Source organism: Homo sapiens, chromosome 2 (genome assembly GCF_000001405.40).
Source record: "Homo sapiens chromosome 2, GRCh38.p14 Primary Assembly".
Classification (NCBI taxonomy): domain Eukaryota; kingdom Metazoa; phylum Chordata; class Mammalia; order Primates; family Hominidae; genus Homo; species Homo sapiens.
In genome coordinates, this window is record NC_000002.12 from 202,543,441 (window position 1) to 202,567,749 (window position 24,309).

Genomic DNA, 24,309 nt, shown 5'->3' on the forward strand with positions numbered 1-24,309 from the left:
TTAAACACATTTTTTTAATGTCAGTACCTCTAGATGTATCTATTTCTCTCCATTTGGTCAGTATTCTATTGATAAAATCATATAATGATTCTATTGGATGATATATGATAATTATTGTATTAAAAAGGAAAAAACTACCTCTCCCTACTATCACTCTCCGTAAGTAACTCCCTTTAGCAATCTTTTGGGTTTTTTCTCTTCCAAAGATTACCATTATAACTTCAAATACTCTATCTATTCTTAAGTTATCTCTCGTTTACTTTCTCCCAGTTTGTAATATTCTATTATTAAATGATTTATGTTTTGTCTGTAAATTCATCTAATATTTAAATACAATAACGAGAAATTTTTGGTATTATGATTATGTAAGCATTCACTGCACAACAAAGTATTGTGCTTGGATTTATAGGAAATAAAAATTCTACATTAGTTACTAAAATCTCCCCTGCGCTTTGGGGAGAATGTTTCAAGTTATCATCCATCACTTGAGCCCAAGGGTTTGAGGCTGCAGTGAGCTATGATCACACCACTGCCCTCCAGCCTGAGTAAGACCCTGTCTCTTTAAAAAAAAATGTCATCAAGTCTCAGCTGCCCAGGAGGCTGAGGTAGGAGAATTGCTTGAACCCCAGAGGTGGAGGTTGCAGCGAGGCGAGATCGTGCCACTGCACTCCAGCCTGGGTGACAGAGTGAGACCCCATCTCAAAAAAAAACAAAAAAAAATTTGAAAAGTCATCATCAAATGATTTCTTTTTGGTTTCTTGTCATCTTTCTTTGTCTTGTTTTTAGGCTATACTCAGAAGCGCATTAAAAATCTCATGTCATTCTCTTTCTTGTAAACGATTGTTTTTTTGATGAAGTTCCTCCTTAAGTAATGTGTATTAGTATGTGTATGGTGGTAAACATTATGAATCCTTGCATGTTTAAAAATGTTTTTATCTTGCCCTCACACTCGAGTAATAATCTGGCTGGATAATAGTTTCAATATCATAATTATTTTCTTCACAACTTTGAAACTACTACTCCATCATTCTCTAGCCTACAATCTCCATGTGCTCTAGGCCCTAGTCTCCAGTCTAATGAGAATTTCAGTGCCATCCTGAATCGTTTCATTGCTTTTTGTTTCGTTATGTTTTTGTTTTATCCTCTTAATTTTTTTTCTCTATAAGCTTTTAAGACTTTATCACTAGAATTGTGAAATTTCACCTTGATGTTTGTAGGCATGGATCTTTACACACATTTTGCTTGGCACTGGGTAGGTTTTCAGTTTGAAAATTCAAAAGTTTCTTAAATTCAGAGGAATTTTCTTTTTTCTTTTTCTTTCTTTTTTTTTTTTTTTTTTTTTGAGACAGGATCTTGCTCTGTCATTCTGGCTGGAGTATAGTGGTGTGATCATGGCTCACTGCAGCTTTGAACTCCTCTGCTTAAGCTATTCTCCTTCTTCATCTTCCTGAGTAGCTGAGACTTCAGGTGCATACCACTTTGCCTGGCTTTTTAAATTTTTGGTAGAGACAGGGTCTCGCTTTGTTTCCCAGGCTGGTCTCAAACTCCTGAATTCAAGCAGTCCTCCTACCTCAGCTTCTCAAAGTACTGAGATCATAAGCATGAGCCATCATGCCTGGCCTGGTATTTTTTTTTAATTATTTCTTACCTTTCAATTCTTCCTTCTGGAATTCCCACTAGACAAATATTGTACCACCTGACATTCTAAGAATCATTTTTTTCTTATATTTTCCATTTTTTCTCCCTCTATGTTTTTCTTCCTCCCGTCCCCCTCCCCTCCCCACACACCTGGCCTCCCTTACTACATTTTTCAAGATTTACTCAGCTTTATCTTCAAATGACCCATTTAGTTTTCACTATTACCCTTGTATCAGTTATCTATTCATTAAAGTTTTAGCTTCCACGATCATAATTATATTTCCAGAAACTCGTTTGCCTTTTCCATAGCAATCTGTTCTTATTTCCAGAATGTAATAAGAGTGATTCATTCTGAAGGTGTTGTTTTTATGCTTTACACAAATTAATTTTCTTGACTATAATAAAAGGACAAAAAGTGAAAAAATAAGCAACTTAAATTATTTTACTATGTATTTTCACATTTCAATTTTAGATTGTCTTGGTAGGACTAAAATAATATTTCCATTTTGGATCCTGATTTAAGTGGGGTGATGTCATGTCAGAGACAGGGTAGAGACACATTATAGTTTCCATACAGATTTAGAATGAGCACTGTCTTCATTGGTTATCTTAGTCACTAGGTTACTTTCAAGTTTGGCTTCTGTTTCAAGTCAGATTGAAATATTTAAGTATGTGGCAATTAAGGAGCCTATTGTCAAGCACATACGTCCAAGATTGCTTCCAAAACTACAGTCCCTGCTATGGGAACTGGGACAGATTTTTGAGAGGTCCCTGATAGCAAGTGAGAGGCTGAATACTTTACTAGGATTAATTAGAGGTGCCAGCCTCACAATAGAGTATCCCTAAAAGAAAAATCTGTGAAATTTTATTCTAGTAAAATACAACTTCATCTTCCTTAAATTGTTTTATTTCACCAGCGCAAATGGGATCTATTATTTTGAAATATCTCTCGGCAACCCTATTATTATGAGATATGCATCATATGCATATTTACCTGAAAACTTTTTACTTCCAGTATAGAGTAGGTTGCCAAGTAAGGAATTCATAATACTTGGTTCACTTCCAGGGAATCCATTTAAATCTAATGTGCTACAGTCAATAAACTGCTTCTCTGCAGTGACAATCCAATACTAGAGTTAGGTAGCAAGTACATAGTTTATAAAAAGAGAGAAATGCAGCTATGTCTAAAGAAGCCATTTTTGCTTTCATAGTTGCATTGAGATTAAGAAACATTCCTTTAGTAGTAAAACTCAGAATCTTTCAAATATTAATGAATATAAAAACTAGCTTTAATTTTATAAATTGCCAGGGACTCAAGCATAGTTTAGTCAATAAAGGGGGGAAGAATAGTTTCCTGATAAAAATGAAAGCATAGAAAATAGTCTAAAGGAAATACATGAAAATGTTAAACCATAGTTATCTCTGAATATTGAGTTCATAAATGACTTTTTCTTCCTATATGTTTCAGAATTTACAGTAAAAATGAACTACTTTAACAATCACATACACATGGTTTTGTTTTTGTTTTTGTTTTTGTTTTTTTGAGACAGAGTCTCGCTCTGTCACTCAGGCTGGAGTGCAGTGGCGCAATCTCAGCTCACTGTGGCGTCTGCCTCCTGGGTTCAAGCGATTTTTCTGGCTCTGCCTCCCGAGTAGCTGGGACTACAGTCACGTGCCACCATGCCTGACTAGTTTTTGTGTTTTTCGTAGAGATGGGGTTTCACCATATTGGTCAGGCTGGTCTTGAACTCCTGACCTCATGATCCACCTGCCTCAGACTCCCGGAGTGCTGGGATTACAGACATGAGCCACCGTGCCCAGCCGGTGTTTTGTTTTGTTTTGTTTTGTTTTGTTTTGTTTTGTTTTGTTTTGTTTTTGTAGAGACAGGGTAGTTGCCAAGACTAGTCTTAAACTCCTGGCCTCAAGCAATCCTCCCACCTCGGCCTCCCAGAGTGCCGGGATTACAGTCATGAGTCAGCATGCCTGGCCCCCACACACAGTTTAAGGCTTTTGTTTTATGTTAAAATATTTTAAATTGGTAAAATAAAAAATTATAGGCCACGTTTATTTTAAAGTAGCTTTTTTCCTCCTACATAAAATTTTCAGGTATAATTTGTTTAACTGTACTACCATTCTTCATGTTTTCCATTCTTTTCCAGTTTTTTGTCACCCATACTATAGTGCAGGGGGACAATAATAGCTCACTGTAGCCTCGAACTCCTAAAGTGCTGGGATTATAGGTATGAGCCCAGCCTCTTTTCCAAATGTTTATACTCCATTTCTTAGTCTGTCTTGAATTCTTTTCTCTCCCCTGTTAAAATCACTTGCCTGGCTTTTCTTTATTCCTTAGTGTTAGTTTTGTATAACCTCTTGTAATCAATGGTTTTATCCTAATATATTTTCACATAAAAGGTGGCAACTTAGCCAGGCACGGTGGCTCACGCCTGTAATCCCAGCACTTTGGGAGGCTGGGGCATGTGGATTACTTGACGTCAGGAGTTCGAGACCAGCCTGGCCAACATGGTGAAACCCCATCTCTACTAAAAATACAAAAATGAGCTGGGTGTGGTTGTGCATGCCTGTAATCCCAGCAACTTGGGAGGCTGAGGCAGGAGAATCGCTTGAGCCCGGGAGGCAGAGGTTGCAGTGAACAGAGATCATGCCACTGCAATCCAGCCTGGACGACAGAGCAAGATCCATCACAAAAAAAAAAAAAAAAAAAAGGCCAGGCACGGCAGCTCATGCCTATAATCCCAGCACTTTGGGAGGCCGAGGTGGGTGGATTGCTTGAGATCAGGAGTTTTAGACCAGCCTGGCCAACATGGTGAAACCCTGTCTCTACTAAAAATACAAAAAATTAGCCGGACATGGTGGCAGGTGCCTGTAATCTCAGCTACTCAGGAGGCTGAGGCAGGAGAATCACTTGAACCTGGGAGGTGGAGATTGCAGTGAGCCGAGATTGCACCACTGCACTCCAGCCTGAGCAACAGAGTAAGATTCCATCTTAAAAAAAAAAAATGCGGCAACTCTTCCTCAGTTTATGTTTGCCCTCTGGTCTTTTTAAGAAATATATAGTACATTTCAGAAGAAACTACCAGTTCTTTTCACATAGTTTTAGTTTTTCCATTTTCTCTTTTGGACAAAATCTATAGACTTCTGTGATCTAGAATTCAACATTTTACATACTTTTTCATCTGACACAACCCACATTAAGAAATACAACTTCAGCCAGGTGCAATAGTGCACACTTGTAGTCTAAGCTACATAGGAGGCTGAGGGAGGAGTATCGCTTGAGCCTAGGAATGTGAAGCTGTAGTACACAATGATCCCACCTGTGAATAACCACTGCAGTCCAGCCTGGGCAACATAGTGAGACCCCATCTCAAAAAAAAAAGCAAAGTTTACATCATTACATATAGTATAATACTTAACCTTACCACCTACTCTATGTCCTAGTGTTTTCTATTCTAGTCTAGAGCATTTCAGTTTTGGTTAGAGTTGTTTGTTTTAAACCACTGAGCTGATTTTATGACCCACCCATGAGATCCAACTTACGTTTTCCTTCCTTTGGGTAGGAAAGATTGAAAAAGTTCCTTGTTTATCTTTTCTACTTTTTTTTCCCCCTACTTGTCTTTCCTCATTAGTGTTAATAATGCCACTCCCTTTAACTTATTTACACAAGCATTAAGGTATCATTATTTACCTATTCCTAGAGTTAGAGTCCCCTTTCAAAGGACGCATCAGATTTTGCCTGAATATTTATGTTTTCACTTCTGATTTATTCTCAATTTTTGTACATTTAAAGAGCTATAATTGATAAACTGCACGTATTAAAGTGTACATTTAGGTGTGTTTTGATATATGTATACACCCATAAAACCATCATCACAGTCATGATTGTGAACATGTCAATTACCCCCAGAAGATTTCTTGTGCCCTTTTGTAATCTCTCCTCAACTTTCTCTATCCCCCATGAGTCCCCAGGCAACCACTGATCTGCTTTCTGTCACTAGAGATTAGTTTACATTTTCTAGAATTTTATATAAATGGAATCATATAAATGTACTGTTTTTCTGGCTTCTTTCAGTATGATTATTTTCAGTTATAATTAACTATTAGTTATAATTATTCATGTTCATTATTAGTTATAATATTATTATTAGTTATAATTATTATTCATGTTCTTATGTGTAGCCATAGTTTATTAATTGCTAAGTAGTATTTCATTGTATGCATATGATACAGTTTGTTTGTCCATCCACTCGTGATGGATATTTGACTTATTTCCAGTTTCAACTTTTATAAATAAAGCTGCTGTGAATATTCATGTACAAGTCTTTGTATAAACATATGGTTTCATTTACTTAGGTAAATATCTAAGAGTAGAGTGGTTGAATCATGTGGTAGGTATATGTTTAACTTTTTAAGAAACTGCCAGTTTTTGTGACCGGGCGCAGTGGCGGAGTTCAAGACCAGCCTGGCCAACATGGTGAAACCCCATCTCTACTAAAAATACAAAAATTAGCCGGGTGTGGTGGTGCATACCTGTAATCCCAGTTACTCGGGATTGAGGCTTGAGAATCGTTTGAATCCAGGAGGCAGAGGCTGCCGTGAGCTGAGATCGCACCACTGCAATCCAGCCTGGGCGACAGAGCAAGACTCTGTCTCAAAAAAAAAAAAAAGAAAAGAAAAGAAAAAAGAAACTGCCAGTTTTCTAAAGTGGTTGTGCCATTTTACATTCTGGCCAGCAGTGCATAAGAGTTCCAGTTTCTCTGCATCTTTGCCAACATTTGGTATTGCCAGTCTTTTTAATTTTAAACATTCTTTTTTGGGGGTGGTGGAGGGAGTACAGAGTCTCATTGTATCACCCAGGCTGGAGTACAGTGCTGCCATCATAGCTCGCTACAGCCTTGACCTCCCAGGCTAAAGTGATCCTCCCACCTCAGCCTCCTGAGTAACTGGGACCACAGGTGTGCACAACCACATCCAGCTAATTTTTAAAAATTTTTGGCCAGGTACAGTGGCTCACGCCTGTAATCCCAGCACTTTGGAAGGTTGAGGTGGGCGGATCACGAGGTCAGGAGATCAAGACCATCCTGGCCAACATGGTGAAACCCCATCTCTACTAAAAATACAAAAACAAAATTAGCCAGGTGTGGTGGCGGGTGCCTGTAGTCCCAGCTACTCGCGAGGCTGAGGCGGGAGAATGGCACGAACCCAAGAGGTGGAGCTTGCAGTGAGCCGAGATCGCGCCATTGCACTGCAGCCTGGGCGACAGAGCGAGACTCCTATCTCCAAAAAAAAAAAAAAAAAAAAAATTGTAGAAATGGAATCTTGCTATGTTGCCCAGGCTTGTCTTGAACTCATGGCCTCAAACAGTCCTCCCACTGCAGCCTTCCAAAGTCCTGGGATTACAGGCATGAGCCACCATGCCTAGCCTAGATTTATAATTATCATTTTATGCTTTTCTCTCTTAAATAAGAAAAAAGGAGGAGGCTGGATGTGATGGGTCTTGCCTGTAATCCCAGCACTTTGGGAGACCGAGGCAGAAGGAACATTTTGGCACAGTGGTGCCTTAGTCAGGCACAGTGGTACTTGCCTGTCGTCCCAGCTACTCAGGAGGCTCATGTAGGAGGATTGCTTAGGTCCAGGAGTTCAAGGCTGCAGTAACCTGTGATCATGCCACAGCACTCGAGCCTGGGCAACAGAATGAGACCTCTTTTTTTGTTTTTGTTTTTAAAAAGGAGTTACAAACCAAAAATATAATAATAGTGGCTTTTATAGTTACCTAAGTAGGCTTTTGGGTTCTACTTATTATCTAATGTCCTTTGAGGGACTCCCTTTAACATTTCTTGTAGAGCATATCAGCTTTTTTTTTTTTTTTTTTTTTTTTTTTGAGCCAGAGCCTTGCTCTGTCGCCCAGGCTGGAGTGCAATGGCGCGATCTCGGCTCACTCCAACATCCGCCTCCTGGGTTCAAGCAATTTTCCTGCCTCAGCATCCCAAATAGCAGATGTAGATATATACAAGTCTTTGTATAAACATATGGTTTCATTTACTTAGGTAAATACCTAAGAGTAGGATGATTGAATCATGTGGATGTTTAAAAACAAACCTAGTCTGTTTTTAAAAAGGGAGTTAAAACCAGCTTTCCCCTGGCCAGGCGCAGTGACTCATGCCTGTAATCCCAGCACTTTGGGAGGCCAAGGCAGGTGGATCACGAGGTCAGGAGTTCAAGACCAGCCTGGCTAACATAGTGAAACCCCGTCTCTACTAAAGATACAAAAAAAAAAAAAAACAGCCGGGCGTGGTGGCAGGCGCCTATAATCTCAGCTACTCAGGAGGCTGAGGGAGGAGAATCACTTGAACCCGGGAGGCGGAAGTTGCAGTGAGCAGAGATCGTGCCACTGTACTCCAGCCTGGGCAACATTGCAAGACTCTATCTCAAAACAAACAAACAAACAAAAAACTAGCTTTCCCCCAAAGGGAGACTATTATAGGGAGACTATTGTTCATTGCTAATAGATAGGAATACTGCAGAATGGGACTGTTTTTGATACTACTGTTTTGGAACTAGTTTAAAGAAGAGATGTCTGTAAGTTTTAAGGTTGAAATGAGGCACTCTTTTTTTTATTCTTTTGAGGCGGAGTCTCACTCTGTCACCCGGGGAGGAGTGCAGTGGCACGATCTTGGCTCAGTGCAACCTCTGCCTCCCGGGTTGAAGCAATTCTGCCTCAGCCTCCCAAGTAGCTGGGACTACAGATGCATACCACCATGCTGGCTAATTTTTTTTTTTTTTTTTTTGAGACAGAGTCTCACTCTGTCGCCCAGTCTGGAGTGCAGTGGCATGATCTCGGCCCACTGCCTTCATGGTTCAAGCGATTCTTCTGCCTCAGCCTCCTAAGTAGCTGGGACTACAGGCGCATGCCACCACACCCAGCTGATTTTTGTATTTTTAGTAGAGACGAGGTTTCACTGTATTGGCCAGGCTGGTCTCGAACTCCTGACCTCGTGATCCACCCGACTTGGCCTCCCAAAGTGCTGGGATTACAGGTGTGAACCACCACGCCTGGCCAATTTTTTTATATTTTTAGTAGAGATGGGGTTTCACCATATTGGCCAAACTGGTCTCAAACTCCTAACCTCAGGTGATCTTCCTGCCTCAGCCTCCCAAAGTGCTGGGATTATAGGCGTGAGCCACTGCGCCCAACCAAGTATCCTTAACTGGGGGTAAAGGAGAAAAGCTCACCTAGAGATAGAAGACAGCCAAATGTCCCCAAGTTCCATCAAACTCAAAACTTATTTTTGAAGCAGAATTAGTGGCTATTGATTGACATAACGTAACTGAATTAGCAACAATGACCTAAACCTGTGGCCTTGAAGAAACATCTACGACTTATTGTTGCTTTTACTTTTATGAATAATTCTTCAAGGAGTTAAGGTAAATCTTGCTTGCTTACTTGTTCATCACCTTTTGAGCATGTTCCGTAATCCTTGAAGCCTAAAATATGTTATTAGAGCTATGTAAAATACTGGTTAAGGTAATTGATTTTTCTTTTACCTCATGTGGTAAACTGAAAAGCTCAATACATTTTTTTTTTTAAAGACACATGGTTTGACATGTACTTTGTCTTACAGGCAGTGAGGTCACTCAAGGAGACAATCGAAGACTGTTGGGACCAGGATGCAGAGGCTCGGCTTACTGCACAGTGTGCTGAGGAAAGGATGGCTGAACTTATGATGATTTGGGAAAGAAACAAATCTGTGAGCCCAACAGTCAATCCAATGTCTACTGCTATGCAGAATGAACGGTAAGACCCTAAGGGGTGTGGCATCTATCAATCAGTATTAGAAACTGAGACCCAACAAAGAATAGAAAATAAATACTTTTAAACCAGCCTAATAGTTCAATGATTACCTCATACAATCTAAAGTTATCATTTTTCTTTCAATATTCCTATTCTTCTATTGAACATTTTTGTTTGGTACAAGTGCAAGATGAAATCTGCATTTTTTAATATGTAAAGGTATAGTGAAAGAAGTTAGTCTTTCTCTATTTATGGTCCAACTTTCCTGCAATAATAAAGGTAAAATGTTTTTATAACTCCAAAAGTTCATAAGCACTTCTATATAAATTGTCTCATTTATCCTTTGTTGTTATTCCTTCTTCCTCTGCTTTTTTTTTTAAGTAAATGGAACTATGAACTTGCCTATCTAACCACTGTTTCACTGACACTAAGGTTTGTAGACTTCCTATCTAATGCTCTTTCTTATAGAATATACTACTACTACTTTTATATGAAAGCAATTCAAAGGTCTTTCTGTTCCATCATTAATATTATTTTACAAGACATTTTCTTTGTTAGAACTATGATTTTTGGTTCTAAATAGAAAGGCTTTTTAAAAATTCCTACAATTTGGAACTTTCTACATCTGTATTTCTTTTTTCCATGTTTGGGGTAAAAAAGCCTTTCTATGACTTTGTCATTTTGTCTAATACATGTTTAAAACTTTCAGAAAGGCATCCAGGAAAGGGTTACTGGAGAAAATTGAAATAAAAATAAACTCGATTCTTGAAACTTTTTTTTTTTCTGTGTGGTTTTTGTTTTTTTTTGTTTGTTTGTTTTTGGAAACTGTGTCTTACTCTGTCCCCCAGGCTGGAGTGCAGTGGCGTGATCCTGGCTCACTGCAACCTCTGCCTCCCAGGTTTAAGCGATTCTCCTGCCTCGGCCTCCCGAGTAGCTGAGATTACAGTCACGAGCCACCACGCCCAGCTAATTTTGTATATTTATTAGAGACAGGGTTTCACCATGTTAGCCAGACTGGTCTCAAACTCCCGACCCCTGGTGATCTGCCTGCCTTGGCCTCCCAAAATGCTGGGATTATAGGCGACAGGTGTGAGCCACCGTGCCCGGCCTATTTTCTGTTCTAATTTGTGAAAGCTATTTGTATTAGCCATAGGTGAAAAATTTGGTTTGCACTACTTTTGTATAGGTCAAATTAGTTTCAAATATAAACTCTTATACCTTGTATATCAGCAAATCAAGAAAGTTAGACACTGGCAATTCTAATTATAAATTTTCTCACTTTACACATACCTGAGGACAGTCTTCTGCTTTTATCTCCCCTCATCTCTGTATTTCCCATGTCCTCTAGTATGATGTTTTTACCTCTCTCAAAAGTCAGCTAAAGCTTTTATTTTGAATGCTTTCAAACTTTTCTTGAATGGTAAGAAAAAAAAACCTTGATGGCCCACCTTGATTTGGCCACTTTTCGCCTCCTGTGTCATTCGGCTCAACCTTCTGCATGCATCTTCTCATCTCCAGTCTCTACTAATAATTTCCTCAAAATTATAATTCATCCCATAGTTACGCTAACTCTAGGTTTTATTTTCCTGAGTCTTACCCTCCATGTCTCCTTAGCTTCCTTTTCTTGTACTGTATAACAATTTTTTTTTCTTCTTTTCCTTCTATCATCTCCCTTATAAATAACTGTCACTCCCAAGGAATGACAATGACAGCAAAGAACCCATGATAATTGGAGAGCAGTTCTGAATCTTTGATCCTTTATTTGAACATCATATTCTGCCTTATACCTTAGGCTCAAGGACTTTTACTGATATGACTCAGACTACCCCAGAAAGATATGTGCCATTACTAGGGCATGCCTCTTAATGGAGGCCTTTGGAACAACCTAAAAGCTTATATTCTTTTTACTATTTGGCCATTGGAACTTAATTGATAACATACCTTTTGAGTAGGCACTATGCATCTAGAATTATGGAAATACAGAAAACATATACCATGGTTCTTCCTCTCATAAAACATAACGTCTGGTTGTATGAATATACATTCCATAAATATATATTTCATGATGTTATAAAACTATAGGGGAGATTTTTTAATTAACTTATAAACCAAAATAATGAACATTTATAAAAATTATATCTCATCCACATACATTTTTCAGTAGGCTTAATTCACATAAAACTAACACTTATCAAGTTATTAATTGACACTTGATTATTTGATTAGACTTTTTAACCTTTAGAAAAATGTACGTTTGGAAGAAAATGAAAAACAACTCAGACTTTAAAATCAGAGGTGTTAAATTTGGAGAGACAGTTTGTCATAAATGTACGTTCTCAATGTGATACTTTTTTTCTTTCTTTAAGCAACCTGTCACATAATAGGCGTGTGCCAAAAATTGGTCCTTATCCAGATTATTCTTCCTCCTCATACATTGAAGACTCTATCCATCATACTGACAGCATCGTGAAGAATATTTCCTCTGAGCATTCTATGTCCAGCACACCTTTGACTATAGGGGAAAAAAACCGAAATTCAATTAACTATGAACGACAGCAAGCACAAGCTCGAATCCCCAGCCCTGAAACAAGTGTCACCAGCCTCTCCACCAACACAACAACCACAAACACCACAGGACTCACGCCAAGTACTGGCATGACTACTATATCTGAGATGCCATACCCAGATGAAACAAATCTGCATACCACAAATGTTGCACAGTCAATTGGGCCAACCCCTGTCTGCTTACAGCTGACAGAAGAAGACTTGGAAACCAACAAGCTAGACCCAAAAGAAGTTGATAAGAACCTCAAGGAAAGCTCTGATGAGAATCTCATGGAGCACTCTCTTAAACAGTTCAGTGGCCCAGACCCACTGAGCAGTACTAGTTCTAGCTTGCTTTACCCACTCATAAAACTTGCAGTAGAAGCAACTGGACAGCAGGACTTCACACAGACTGCAAATGGCCAAGCATGTTTGATTCCTGATGTTCTGCCTACTCAGATCTATCCTCTCCCCAAGCAGCAGAACCTTCCCAAGAGACCTACTAGTTTGCCTTTGAACACCAAAAATTCAACAAAAGAGCCCCGGCTAAAATTTGGCAGCAAGCACAAATCAAACTTGAAACAAGTCGAAACTGGAGTTGCCAAGATGAATACAATCAATGCAGCAGAACCTCATGTGGTGACAGTCACCATGAATGGTGTGGCAGGTAGAAACCACAGTGTTAACTCCCATGCTGCCACAACCCAATATGCCAATGGGACAGTACTATCTGGCCAAACAACCAACATAGTGACACATAGGGCCCAAGAAATGTTGCAGAATCAGTTTATTGGTGAGGACACCCGGCTGAATATTAATTCCAGTCCTGATGAGCATGAGCCTTTACTGAGACGAGAGCAACAAGCTGGCCATGATGAAGGTGTTCTGGATCGTCTTGTGGACAGGAGGGAACGGCCACTAGAAGGTGGCCGAACTAATTCCAATAACAACAACAGCAATCCATGTTCAGAACAAGATGTTCTTGCACAGGGTGTTCCAAGCACAGCAGCAGATCCTGGGCCATCAAAGCCCAGAAGAGCACAGAGGCCTAATTCTCTGGATCTTTCAGCCACAAATGTCCTGGATGGCAGCAGTATACAGAGTAAGTGGAGGGATCATATAATCTCTCCTGTGTGTCTTTTGGGGCCATTTAAATAACTATTTAGAATCAACTAATAGATATATTTCAACTAGTGATTATTTACCTTTACCACTTTTGTAAATGATCCATTTGAGGCGGGGCACAGTGGCTCACACCTGTAATCCTAGCACTTTGGGAGGCCAAGGGAGGTGGATCACCTGAGGTCAGGAGTTCAAGACCAACCTGGCCAACATGGCGAAACCCCATCTCTACTAAAAAATAAAAAAAATTAGGCCAGGCGCGGTGGCTCACGCCTGTAATCCCAGCACTTTGGGAGGCCAAGGCGGGCAGATTACTTGAGATCAGGAGTTCAAGACCAGCCTGGCCAACATGGTGAAACCCCATCTCTAAAAAATACAAAAATTAGCCAGGCGTGGTGGCGTGCACCTGTAATCCCAGCCGAGATCACGACACTTCACTCTAGCCTGGGCAAAAAAGTGAAACTCCATCTCAATAATGAAATAAAATAAACCATTTGGGCCAGGCGTGGTGGCTCATGCCTATAATTCCAGCACTTTGTGAGGCCAGGGCAGGTGGATCACCTGAGGTCAGGAGTTCGAGACCAGCCTGACCAACATGGTGAAACCCCGTCTCTACTAAAAATGCAAAAATGGCCAGGCACAGTGGCTCATGCCTATAACCCAGCACTTTGGGAGGCTGAGGCAGGTGGATCACGAGGTCAAGAGTTCAAGATCAGCCTGGCCAAGGTGGTGAAACCCCTGTGTCTACTAAAAATACAAAAAATTAGCCGCGTGTGGTGGTGGGCACCTGTAATCCCAGCTACTCGGAAGGCTGAGGCAGAGAATTGCTTGAACCCAGGAGGCGGAGGTTGCAATGAGCCGAGACTATGCCACTGCACTCCAGCCTGGGTGACAGAATGAAACTCTGTCTCAAACACACACACACACACACACACACACACACACACACACACACACACACACAAATTAGCTGGGTGTGGTGGTGCCCACCTGTAATCCCAGCTACTTGGGAAGCTGAGGCAGGAGAATCGCCTTAACCCAGGAGGCGGAGGTTGCAGTGAGCTGAGATTGCGCCATTGTACTCCAGCCTGGGCAGCAAGAGCGAAACTCCATCTCAGGAAAAAAAATAAATAAGCCATTTGGTTGGGCCTCAAAGGTAATTAGACTATTGTAAAGAAAAAAGTAATATTTTTGTCATTGATAATTAAAAAGTCAGTGTCACAATAGTCAGAATAATTACCCAATTTAATATGTGCTTTATGTGGCTGCTGCTTTATAATGCAACTCACATACTTGCTATGAAAAGTTGAAATAAAGTAAATACAGTTCAAGAGCTCCAAGTAATGTTATACCAGTATAATCTTTGAAACATTTTATTGCATATATTAATATTGATTATGTCTGCATTTAGGTTTTATCAAACTAACCTTAATAAATCTTAAAGATCCAGAGAAATTTTGGGAAAATTACTATAAAGAAACTGTAGGCTAGGCACGGTGGCTCACGCCTGTAATCCCAGTGCTGTGGAAGACTGAGGTGGGTGGGTCACTTGAGGCCAGGAGTTCAAGACTAGCCTGGGCAACATAGCAAAACTCCATCTCTACAAAAAATTTAAAACTTAGTTTGGTGTGGTGGTCTGCAACCTCTGCCTCCCGGGTTCAAGTGATTCTCCTGCCTCAGCCTCCCGAGTAGCTGGGATTACAGACATGTGCCACCATGCCCTGCTAATTATTGTATTTTAGTAAAGGAGGGGTTTCGCCATGTTGGCCAGGCTGGTCTCGAACACTGGACTTCAGGTGATCCACCCACCTCAGTGTCCCACAGTGCTGGCATTACAGGCGTGAACCACTGCGCCCAGCCTATTTCTCTTTTAGACTAAGGCATTTATGAAAAAAAGTTATGTTTTATTGTCAAGGGCTACAAAATGGGCTTGAAGGAAGGATACAGGTCTCAAAACACAATCAGGAAAATTTAGCCCCTTGCTTGAGTGGCTTGTATTACAGATCAGTTGACAGACCTTTATTGCAGGGCTCTGAGTCAGTAAGACATCGTGTCAGATAGGCCAGGCATGGTGGCTTACGCCTGTAATCCCAGCACTTTGGGAGGCTGAGGCGGGCGGATCACCTGAGGTCGGGAGTTCGAGACCAACCTGACCAACATGGAGAAACCCGGTCTCTACTAAAAATACAAAAGTAGCCAGACGTGGTGGCACATGCCTGTAATCCCAGATACTTGGGAGGCTGAGGCAGGTGACTTGCTTGAACCTGGGAGGCAGAGGTTGCGGTGAGCCGAGATCATGTCATTGCACTCCAGCCTGGCAACAAGAATGAAACTCCATCTCAAAAAAAAAAAAAAAAAAATCTTGTCAGATATAGGAAGAGGAAATTATTAGAATGTTTGTACTCTAATATTTCTGTTATTCTTCTGAAAAATATTGTATGCCAGGTGCCTTTAAAATTTGATCCAGGCTGGGCATGGTGGCTCACACCTGTAATCCCAGCACTTAGGGAGGCTGAGTCGGGCACATTGCCTGAGCTCAGGAGTTTGAGACCACCCTCGGCAAGATGGTGAAACCCCCCGTCTCTACTAAAATACAAAAAATTAGCTGGTCATGGTGGCATGCGCCTGTAGTCCCGGCTACTTGAGAGGCTGAGGCGTGAGAATCACTTGAGCCCGGGAAACAGAGGTTGCAGTGAGTCAAGATCATGCCACTGCACTCCAGCCTGGGCTACAGAGTGAGACTCCATCCCCCAAAAAAAAAAAAAAAATTTGATCCACCTTGAGCATTAAATACAATTAAATACAATAATTAAGTACATTTTACCAAGTTAAGATCGCTACCAAAACCAGAAGATTTGAGAATACAGCTGAGAAGTTTAAATGTTCTCCTGTGTTTTGTGTGTGTGTGTTTTCCCTTGCCTTATAAAATAAGTCAATCAGTTATTAAAACATTTGGGTTAAAGAGTCTCAAAAATAAGTTGGTTAAGCTTTTCCTGGAAAAACATTGTCTGGCATTATGAATTTCAAGAAATGTTCATTAGCACCCTCCTGAGACATTGGTTTGACCTTTTCTTGAGTTACATCCCTTACCCGTTATTTCTTAAGTTTGTTAAATAGCTCATTTTTCTGCACTTTTATTTTCAGTAGGTGAGTCAACACAAGATGGCAAATCAGGATCAGGTGAAAAGATCAAGAAACGTGTGAAAACTCCCTATTCTCTTAAGCGGTGGCGCCCCTCCACCTGGGTCATCTCCACTGAATCGCTGGACTGTGAAGTCAACAATAATGGCAGTAACAGGGCAGTTCATTCCAAATCCAGCACTGCTGTTTACCTTGCAGAAGGAGGCACTGCTACAACCATGGTGTCTAAAGATATAGGAATGAACTGTCTGTGAAATGTTTTCAAGCCTATGGAGTGAAATTATTTTTTGCATCATTTAAACATGCAGAAGATGTTTAAAAATAAAAAAAAAACTGCTTTATCCTCCTGTCAGCACCCCCTCCCACCCCTGCAACAAAGACTTGCTTTAAATAGATTTCAGCTATGCAGAAAAATTTAGCTTATGCTTCCATATTTTTAAATTTTGTTTTTTAAGTTTTGCACTTTTGTTTAGTCTCGCTAAAGTTATATTTGTCTGTTATGACCACAGAGTTATATGTGTGTGTATCAAAAGTGGTCTCAAAATATTTTTTTAAGAAAAAAAGCAAAAACAATGTATTGCTGATAATCAGTTTGGACCAGTTTCTTAAGGTCATTAAAACAGAAGCAAATTAAGACAGGTTTGACTGCAGTGGTGTCTGGTATCCATGTTTTATTTCTGGGCACAAGCTAGTTTTTATGTTGATACGTTCCTGAACATATTATCTTGTTGGACATCTTTTCTCTTGTGTTTTGTTTGAATGTGCAATAGTTTATAGGCCACAAATAAGCTTTCTTGTAAGCTCTCTTCCTAACAGGGCACATATTCTTCCATAATATAAACACTTTTCTGCCCCATCTCCCATACTTTTGAAGGTCAGTTCTATGACAGTGAATTTTGCACAGGAGAAGCAGCTACCTGATTTCTTACTTTCTCTCTCCTTATCATGGAGAATACAGAAACATTGTCTGAAAGGGCTCTAAAGAAGGAACTACCAAAACCTGACTTGAAATGCCATTTCTTTTAACCTTCCAAATCCTAAATGTTTCCTTCAAGGCATCTTAATAAACTTATTTGCTTCTGGTTTTGGGAGTTCATAAGAGAGAATAGAACAAAATACAGGACATCAAATATTAGCCATTTCCCATTTTATTTTATTTTTCTATGTAGGTTCATGTTCCATGTTCATTTATTTAAGAAATACATTTTTATTGGTAAGCTTATAGAGCTACACTTATGGAATTTTTAAGTAGGTAAATAAATGGTTAAGACAAAATAGTGTTATAGCCTTCATTCTCTGAATAGGCCATCTTTGACTCATAAAATTACCCTTACTGTTTATTATAACTTCAGAAGTAATTTATAGTTCTGAACCTATAGTATCTTTTACCCTGTTCCCAAGCAAAGACTGGTGACTTTATCTGAAAATGATTCCTCTTCCCATGACCTAAAACACTGTGAGGAAAAATCATTCAAGTGGCATGCCAAGTCCCTATGAAGGAAGGGCTGCTATCAAACCTACCTTTTTTGAGCAAACTGAGACTAAACTTCTCTCTTTTCAAAATTGTGTTATCTTCCTTAATCCTATTTTCATAATTTTTCCTTTTGCCAGTTTTTCACATTATCTTTGATATGTGAGCAACATTTATTATTTACATTAGAGTATACCTTTTAGTAATAAAATGACTTGAAATCATATTATTTTTAAAAGCCCTTTGCTTCTTTCATTACTTATAATCTCCTCTAAAACAACCTCTGCATGTTTTTTTTAAATAAAGCACTTTCTGTCAAATAATGGACTTTTTTCTAAACAGAAATTATTTTCTATTAATTTGCAAACTGATGATTTCACTTTTTTTTACTTTTTTTTCGATTATCAGAGTACTTAGTAAATGTTATATAGTTTAGTTCTAAGATAGTTCCAGGGATTAAAAGGTTAAGAGGAAAACACAAATCACCAAATTTCTGATTTATGTTTTTATCTCCTGAACAATATTTTCTCACTCATATTCCTCTATCTTATCACTTAGCTAAAGACAGCCTAAATTTCCCAATTTTCTGTCCAAAATATTTGTGATTTACTTGTATATAAGCCTTCTCATTTGCCATGTGCTGTGATCTTACAAGTTAGATGTTACTATACCTACCATTTATTCAGCTGGATTGCTGAACACAGTTCTGGATTCATAGAATTAAGAATATCTTGTTAGTGCCCAGGATTTCCACGTTTTGTGTTTTATTGGCCCTTTTCTTTATTCAGCCCCTTAATCTATTTTCAGTCTTCTGGCACGTAATTTTTTTCACAGTTATTATTCTTCTATTAACAAATTATTTTTATCTTTCCTAGTACATTTTCACTTAGTTCTCTTGCCCTTAAATATCTTTCACATGCATTTTAGGATATTCTTTTCAAATATTTGTAGGACAACTTTGAATCAAAATAAATTATGTTCCTTCTCCAATTTGAAGCATTGAGGATAAATGACCATTTGAGGTCTAACTGATCTTTTCCTGCCAGAAGAGTTATCTTACGTTCTGCTATATTTGTATTTGGGCCAGTTGATTGTAGGTTGTCCAACATTTTTTAATATTGGGAAAATTATGATAAAATGCTTTAAAAATTAATATGCCAGATTAAAATAACTGAATAGTTTACTATTTCATTCAAGCATGTTTAAAACAAATAATTTCCTTTCACCAGTTTTTCTTAGTAAACTCCTGAAAAAGTAGGAAAGGTGGAAAGTATATATCATTTTTATAAATTTTAAATTGTACATCAGACTTTTAAAATCTGTAATATACAAGCAAGCAAAATTATTTTAAATGACTTAATTGTATGCTAATACTCATCTGATAATAAATGCTTCTTAAAGTTGACATTTAACTGCTATCACAAAGTTTTATATGTAGAAAAGTGGGGTCCTTTTGAATAAAAGATCATTCAACTAAAAATATTAAAATTTATTTCACTGGATGGTAATGTAACCTTAAAAGCATCATAATAGGTAAAGTCTAATATTAGTTCCCTTAACAAAATCCTAACTGTATACCAGAATTAGGTCACTGAAAGAACTTGATTTGAATTACGTTTAGACAAAAATGATTTAATTGTAAATTCTTAAAACTTTCTAAATGCATAATTGGCAAAAAAAAAAACCCACTGTTACCAGTGTAGGAAGTTACAAGAAGGCACATACTGAATGCTGAAGTATACATATGCTATTTCTCTTAAACCTCAGAGCAACCATATGAGCATTGTAATTAATATTCCCATTTTACAGATGAGGAAACTGAAGCTAAGAGAAGCTAAGTAATATGCCCAAGGTCCACATCTAGTAACAGACAAAGCTGGGATTTCAGTCTATGTCTGCCTCTCTCCACATCTCTTTCATCCATACCACACTGCCTACATGCCATATGACAGGATGTGTAATGGGCTAACGTTTATTTAAAAAGTTCAGGCCAGGTGCAGTGGCTTATGCCTATAATCCCCGCACTTTGGGAGGCCGAGCCGGGTGGATCATGAGGTCAGACGTTCAACACCAGCCTGGCCAAGATGGTGAAACCCCGTCTCTATTAAAAATATTTTTTAAAAATTAACTGAGCGTGGTGGTGGGCGCCTGTAGTCCCAGCTACTCAGGAGGCTAAGGCAGGAGAATCTCTTGAACCCGAGAGGTGGAGGTTGCAGTGAGCTGAGATCGCGCCACTGCACTGCAGCCTAGGCGACAGAGCAAGACTGCCTCAAAAAAAAAACATAAAAATTCAGTCACTATACTCTGGCACAATTTTCATTTGTATATGAGCCAAACCACATACCTTAATGATTTGGGAAGTTAGGCAAATATGAGATATGTAGACATATCTATGCTGATTGTTGCTTGAGAAATAATTACTAATTCTAGACAAAACTCAATCCTGTATCTTCCATCATGAATCTTAAAATCATTTCACTTCACTCCTAACATTTCTTACATTGCAGAACTAATGGTAAAGTAAATTTTACGGAAAAAGTTAAGATAGCTTTGGGAACAGAGACCTTTCCCTAAATTGATTCCATAGCAGATTTGGGGGAATTAACAAAGAATTTCAGTCTCATCAATCCTTTGAATCCATCTTCAAAACTTCTGCTTTTAATAACTTTAGAAAATTTACTAATCTATAGAACTAATTGAGTAGGATATAGGAAGGATACAAGGATATAATGTCCTTTTTATAAAAGTTTAGTATAGCTTCTTTACATGTATCCACTTGTTCCAGAAAATGTGCATTGGTTCTGAATGTGAAAATATTTAAAGAGAGAAAGGAACACTCAAGTAAGTGTGGGCTTCAGTGGGAATTATCACAAAACATTGGCAAGTATTTTTATTTAAATTATTTTCAAATTTGACTTCTACAGCCAAGTGGAATTGGTAGGCTGTAGCTGTTACACTGAAATTTCTAGTCTTTGTAAGTGCCTCCTGAAAGTCATTTAAAATGGAAAAATATTTCAATGAGCTTTTCCTTTTTTCATATTTATGGACATGAATATTTTATTGGAGATCATTAACTCCTAGAATTTGAGATTATATTTCCATACAACATTTTATAAAGTTATGTTGAACTTACTACCTGTTATGTGCAGGTTATTATGTAACTATTCACAGATTGCTTCATATATTGCTTTATCTTCCCATCTAACTTCTTAAAGTTAAAATCCGGACACACATGTTGATTATCTAGACCAGTCATTCTGGAAATTGTAACACTCCCACATAAACCCCAGGAGACTTTTTCAGAATGCAATGTTTCTAAATGTACTGTTACTGGCAGTTTACTCTCCAGCATATAAGGTTGCATTTTAACTTTTAGATTATGAACTGTGCAAACTTTACCCAAAACTATCTTGCATGATTCCCTCCTAAATATATTCCTTGATTAAGTAAATCTGGCAAATCACTGTTTGAGCTAGTTACATAAAATTTGTTATCAAGAGAAGGCTTTTCTACAAGTTTCCAGATTAACATAAAGAAAAGAGGGAATCACAGGGCATTTAAGTGCACCTTCCCATTACTTTCCTTAAATCACCTCATAGTTAGGCTGGGCGCGGTGGCTCACGCCTGTAATCCCAGCACTTTGGGAGGCCGAGACGGTGGATCACGAGGTCAGGGGACTGAGATCATCCTGGCTAACACGATGAAACCTCATCTCTACTAAAAATACAAATAATTAGCCAGGCATGGTGGCACGCGCCTGTAGTCCCAGCTACTCGGGAGGCAGAGACAGGAGAATCGTTTGCACCCGGGAGGCGGAGGTTGTTGCAGTGAGCCGAGATCGCGCCAATGCACTCCAGCCTGGGCTACAGAGTGAGACTCCATCTCAAAAAAAAACAAAAAAAATCACCTCATAGTTTATGTCTGACTTACTCCAAACCTCAGTTATCTGATTTGTAGTCTGTGTCAGGAAAGTTTTCTTCATATCTATTCTGTCTCCCTCCTCTTTGATTTTAAATTTTTTTCTTTTACCCAGTAGGACAAAAAAGAGCAGTTGGTCATCATCCCCAATATTCTTAGTCTTCAGTATGCTTCAGGCCTCTCAATGAACACTTAAGTCTCAATTCTTCAGACAAAATTGCTTAAGCTCTTCTCCTCAGTCCTATTTTAATGACTTTATATTTAAGAATATAGAATTATATTTTCTTTTATATTCAAATTCATTACTCCAGTTAAGTAATAGTTTGATAGTTTGATAGAATCGAGAGTTAAGATGTTTCTATTTGAAAGTGGATTCAACCATCAGACCACCAGCAAATCGGCACTTAATTTTTGTGTTATCTAACATTTTCTATTGTGGAATTTTATGATTTTATATTCTCATTAGTTATAACTAAAAAGCCATGCACACAGAATTGTATATCATTTTGCCATTAAAATTTTTTAACATATTGCAGCAAGCTTAGTTTTATGATTGAGCCACAACCTTTTACATATTTTTTGTATGAAATATTAAACACTAAATGCAAGATTAACTTTCAAAAGCAAACCCTACATTAATCAGGTATTATCTATGGACATTTTTGTAGACCACTTTTGAAATACTTATTATTTTGCAACATAGACTGGACTATACAACTTTCATTTAACTTTTAGGTGACTGATTTAAGTTGAGTGTGCATATAGAGAAAAACCTAGAAATTTATCTCATGGCAGATACATTTGAAAGTACTTCAGAAGAATTTATGCTGTATATTAAAACTAGGCTCAAAATAAATCTATCGTATCTTTAAAAGTCCAATTCTGTTATTACTGTGATGTTTGTAGTGTTACTATTAAACATTGTGAACATACACATTTTTAAAACAACTTGAAACCCATTTTAAAATCTGGGTAAGAGAGAAGGAATCTTCAGAACAAAATCACATCATTAGGGTGTCCAGTTTATGATTGAATTTTTAAGCAAATTACTGTATTTGAAACTACAACTTGATTTGGTTTTCAGTTTTAAAAGGCAACATGTGGGTTTTATCCATTTTATTTATACCTTTAGATTTCAGAAACATCTTCATGTTTTAGATGCATTCTACAGACATCATGTTACTTAAAAACTCAGGGCCCCTTTCATCCCTTTGTACACTGAAAAAGTTCAATTGTTAGCAAGTAAGCAATTAGATCCAGTTGAATATTTAAAGTGTTTGTTGCACAGTTCATTTAATGTTTCATCTTATTTGACTTTTTCACATAGATATAATATCAGATTTCATTAATTATAAAAAGTTGCCCAGTTCTGTAATTACTGAACAGAGGGAATGACTCAACTAATTGGCTACATGTTGCAACAAATTTAGGCCTTTAGAGTTGAAGCACTGACTTAAAACGACTTACATTTCTGTTCTTTGGTCAAATGACCATACATGATATGGGACAAATTGTTTCATTTTGTTTGTTTTTTAATAAGGGAACTTGGTAAAGTAGTTCCTGTCAGATAGGATTTTCTCAAGAGACAATTTAACGTTATAAAGCCTTCTAAAAGTGAACTAAATATTTTATAACTTTAGTAATAGCTTGGATGGTTTTGAGAAAATAACCTGTATTTATCACATTGTCAAACAGAATTTTTCTTTGAATCAGACAAGTTCAAGCTCTAAATTGATGTGCTATATACTTAAAATCCTAGGAAGTTATCTGTAACCAGTCTCTTGTCTCAGGCTCTTCACCTTGTTACCAATCCTCGTAAGTATGTAAAGGAAACATATTTTTAAAGAAGCTTAACAGTAAGAAAAAATTACTAAAAGATGCAATTCAAAGATAGGTCCCAGTTTAACACTGAATTGCTTGACTTCTGTGGCTTTTCTTTTTCTGGCCACATTTATTTATTTAAGCAATTTTTGTATGCCTTGTTATTTCATTTCCATAGAGATTATATTGTATCAGTGTTTATGTAAGCTGGAATCATCCTCAGTTTTTTGCTGATAATTTTTCAAATAAAGATACATGGATAATTGTAAAATACACTAACTCTTAGGGTGTTGTAGTAGCTGAAACATGGAGATGCGTAGCTGTCATGCTTTTTCTGAATGGACAGGAGAAACATAAGCTACGGAGTATTCACTTCTGAGGATGCTTTTCCGGAAAAAGAAAGGCTAGAAAATACTCGCACTTCCTCAGAACCCTCTTTCTTGTTAACGGGTATCTTTTGTTGGTGTGTTTTGCTCTTACATTACAGATAGACTATCATATATGACTTTATGAATAATTTCAGTTATTTTGCTTTTGTATAAGCTGTCTGAAGCCTTGCTATGCTGTATAAGTTGTGTTTGATGGATCAGTGTGAGTATAAAATAAAGCAAATCACTTTTCTTTTGTATTATCTATGGATGCCACTATGAAAGCTGACATTAAGCCACTAAAGAGTTTTCTATGAATAAGTGTAAGTAAATGCTTTGATATATATAAACCTAAATAAAAAGATTGTATTGATACAGAGACATTGGAGAAGGAGATTTTAAGGCAGTTCTTTAGGTTTAAAAAGGCTTGCTGTAAAATGGTGCGTTATTCCGTTTATTAAAGATCATATTAATGACAA

The 24,309-nt window shown here is 38.1% G+C and overlaps 1 protein-coding gene across 2 annotated transcripts in view, besides 1 other annotated feature; it reads left to right on the forward strand.

Annotated features, from left to right (window-relative positions):
* The window catches only part of BMPR2 (bone morphogenetic protein receptor type 2), a 191,423-nt gene extending 167,114 nt beyond the window's left edge, over positions 1 to 24,309 (forward strand). Inside the window, exons 11-13 of one of the 2 annotated variants that reach the window (NM_001204.7) lie at positions 9,276 to 9,448; positions 11,812 to 13,091; positions 16,256 to 24,309. In NM_001204.7, coding sequence (NP_001195.2) covers positions 9,276 to 9,448; positions 11,812 to 13,091; positions 16,256 to 16,506 — 1,704 coding nt within the window. In that variant the 3' untranslated portion in view covers positions 16,507 to 24,309. The remainder of the gene's footprint in view (positions 1 to 9,275; positions 9,449 to 11,811; positions 13,092 to 16,255) is intronic. The other variant, XM_011511687.2, reaches the window with a different exon arrangement.
* Positions 2,241 to 2,310: a silencer, noted in NCBI's record as "silent region_12245". NCBI's record gives its function as "represses an Ori minimal core promoter by ATAC-STARR-seq in GM12878 lymphoblastoid cells {active_cell/tissue: GM12878}" and the evidence as "EXISTENCE:reporter gene assay evidence [ECO:0000049][PMID:35858748]".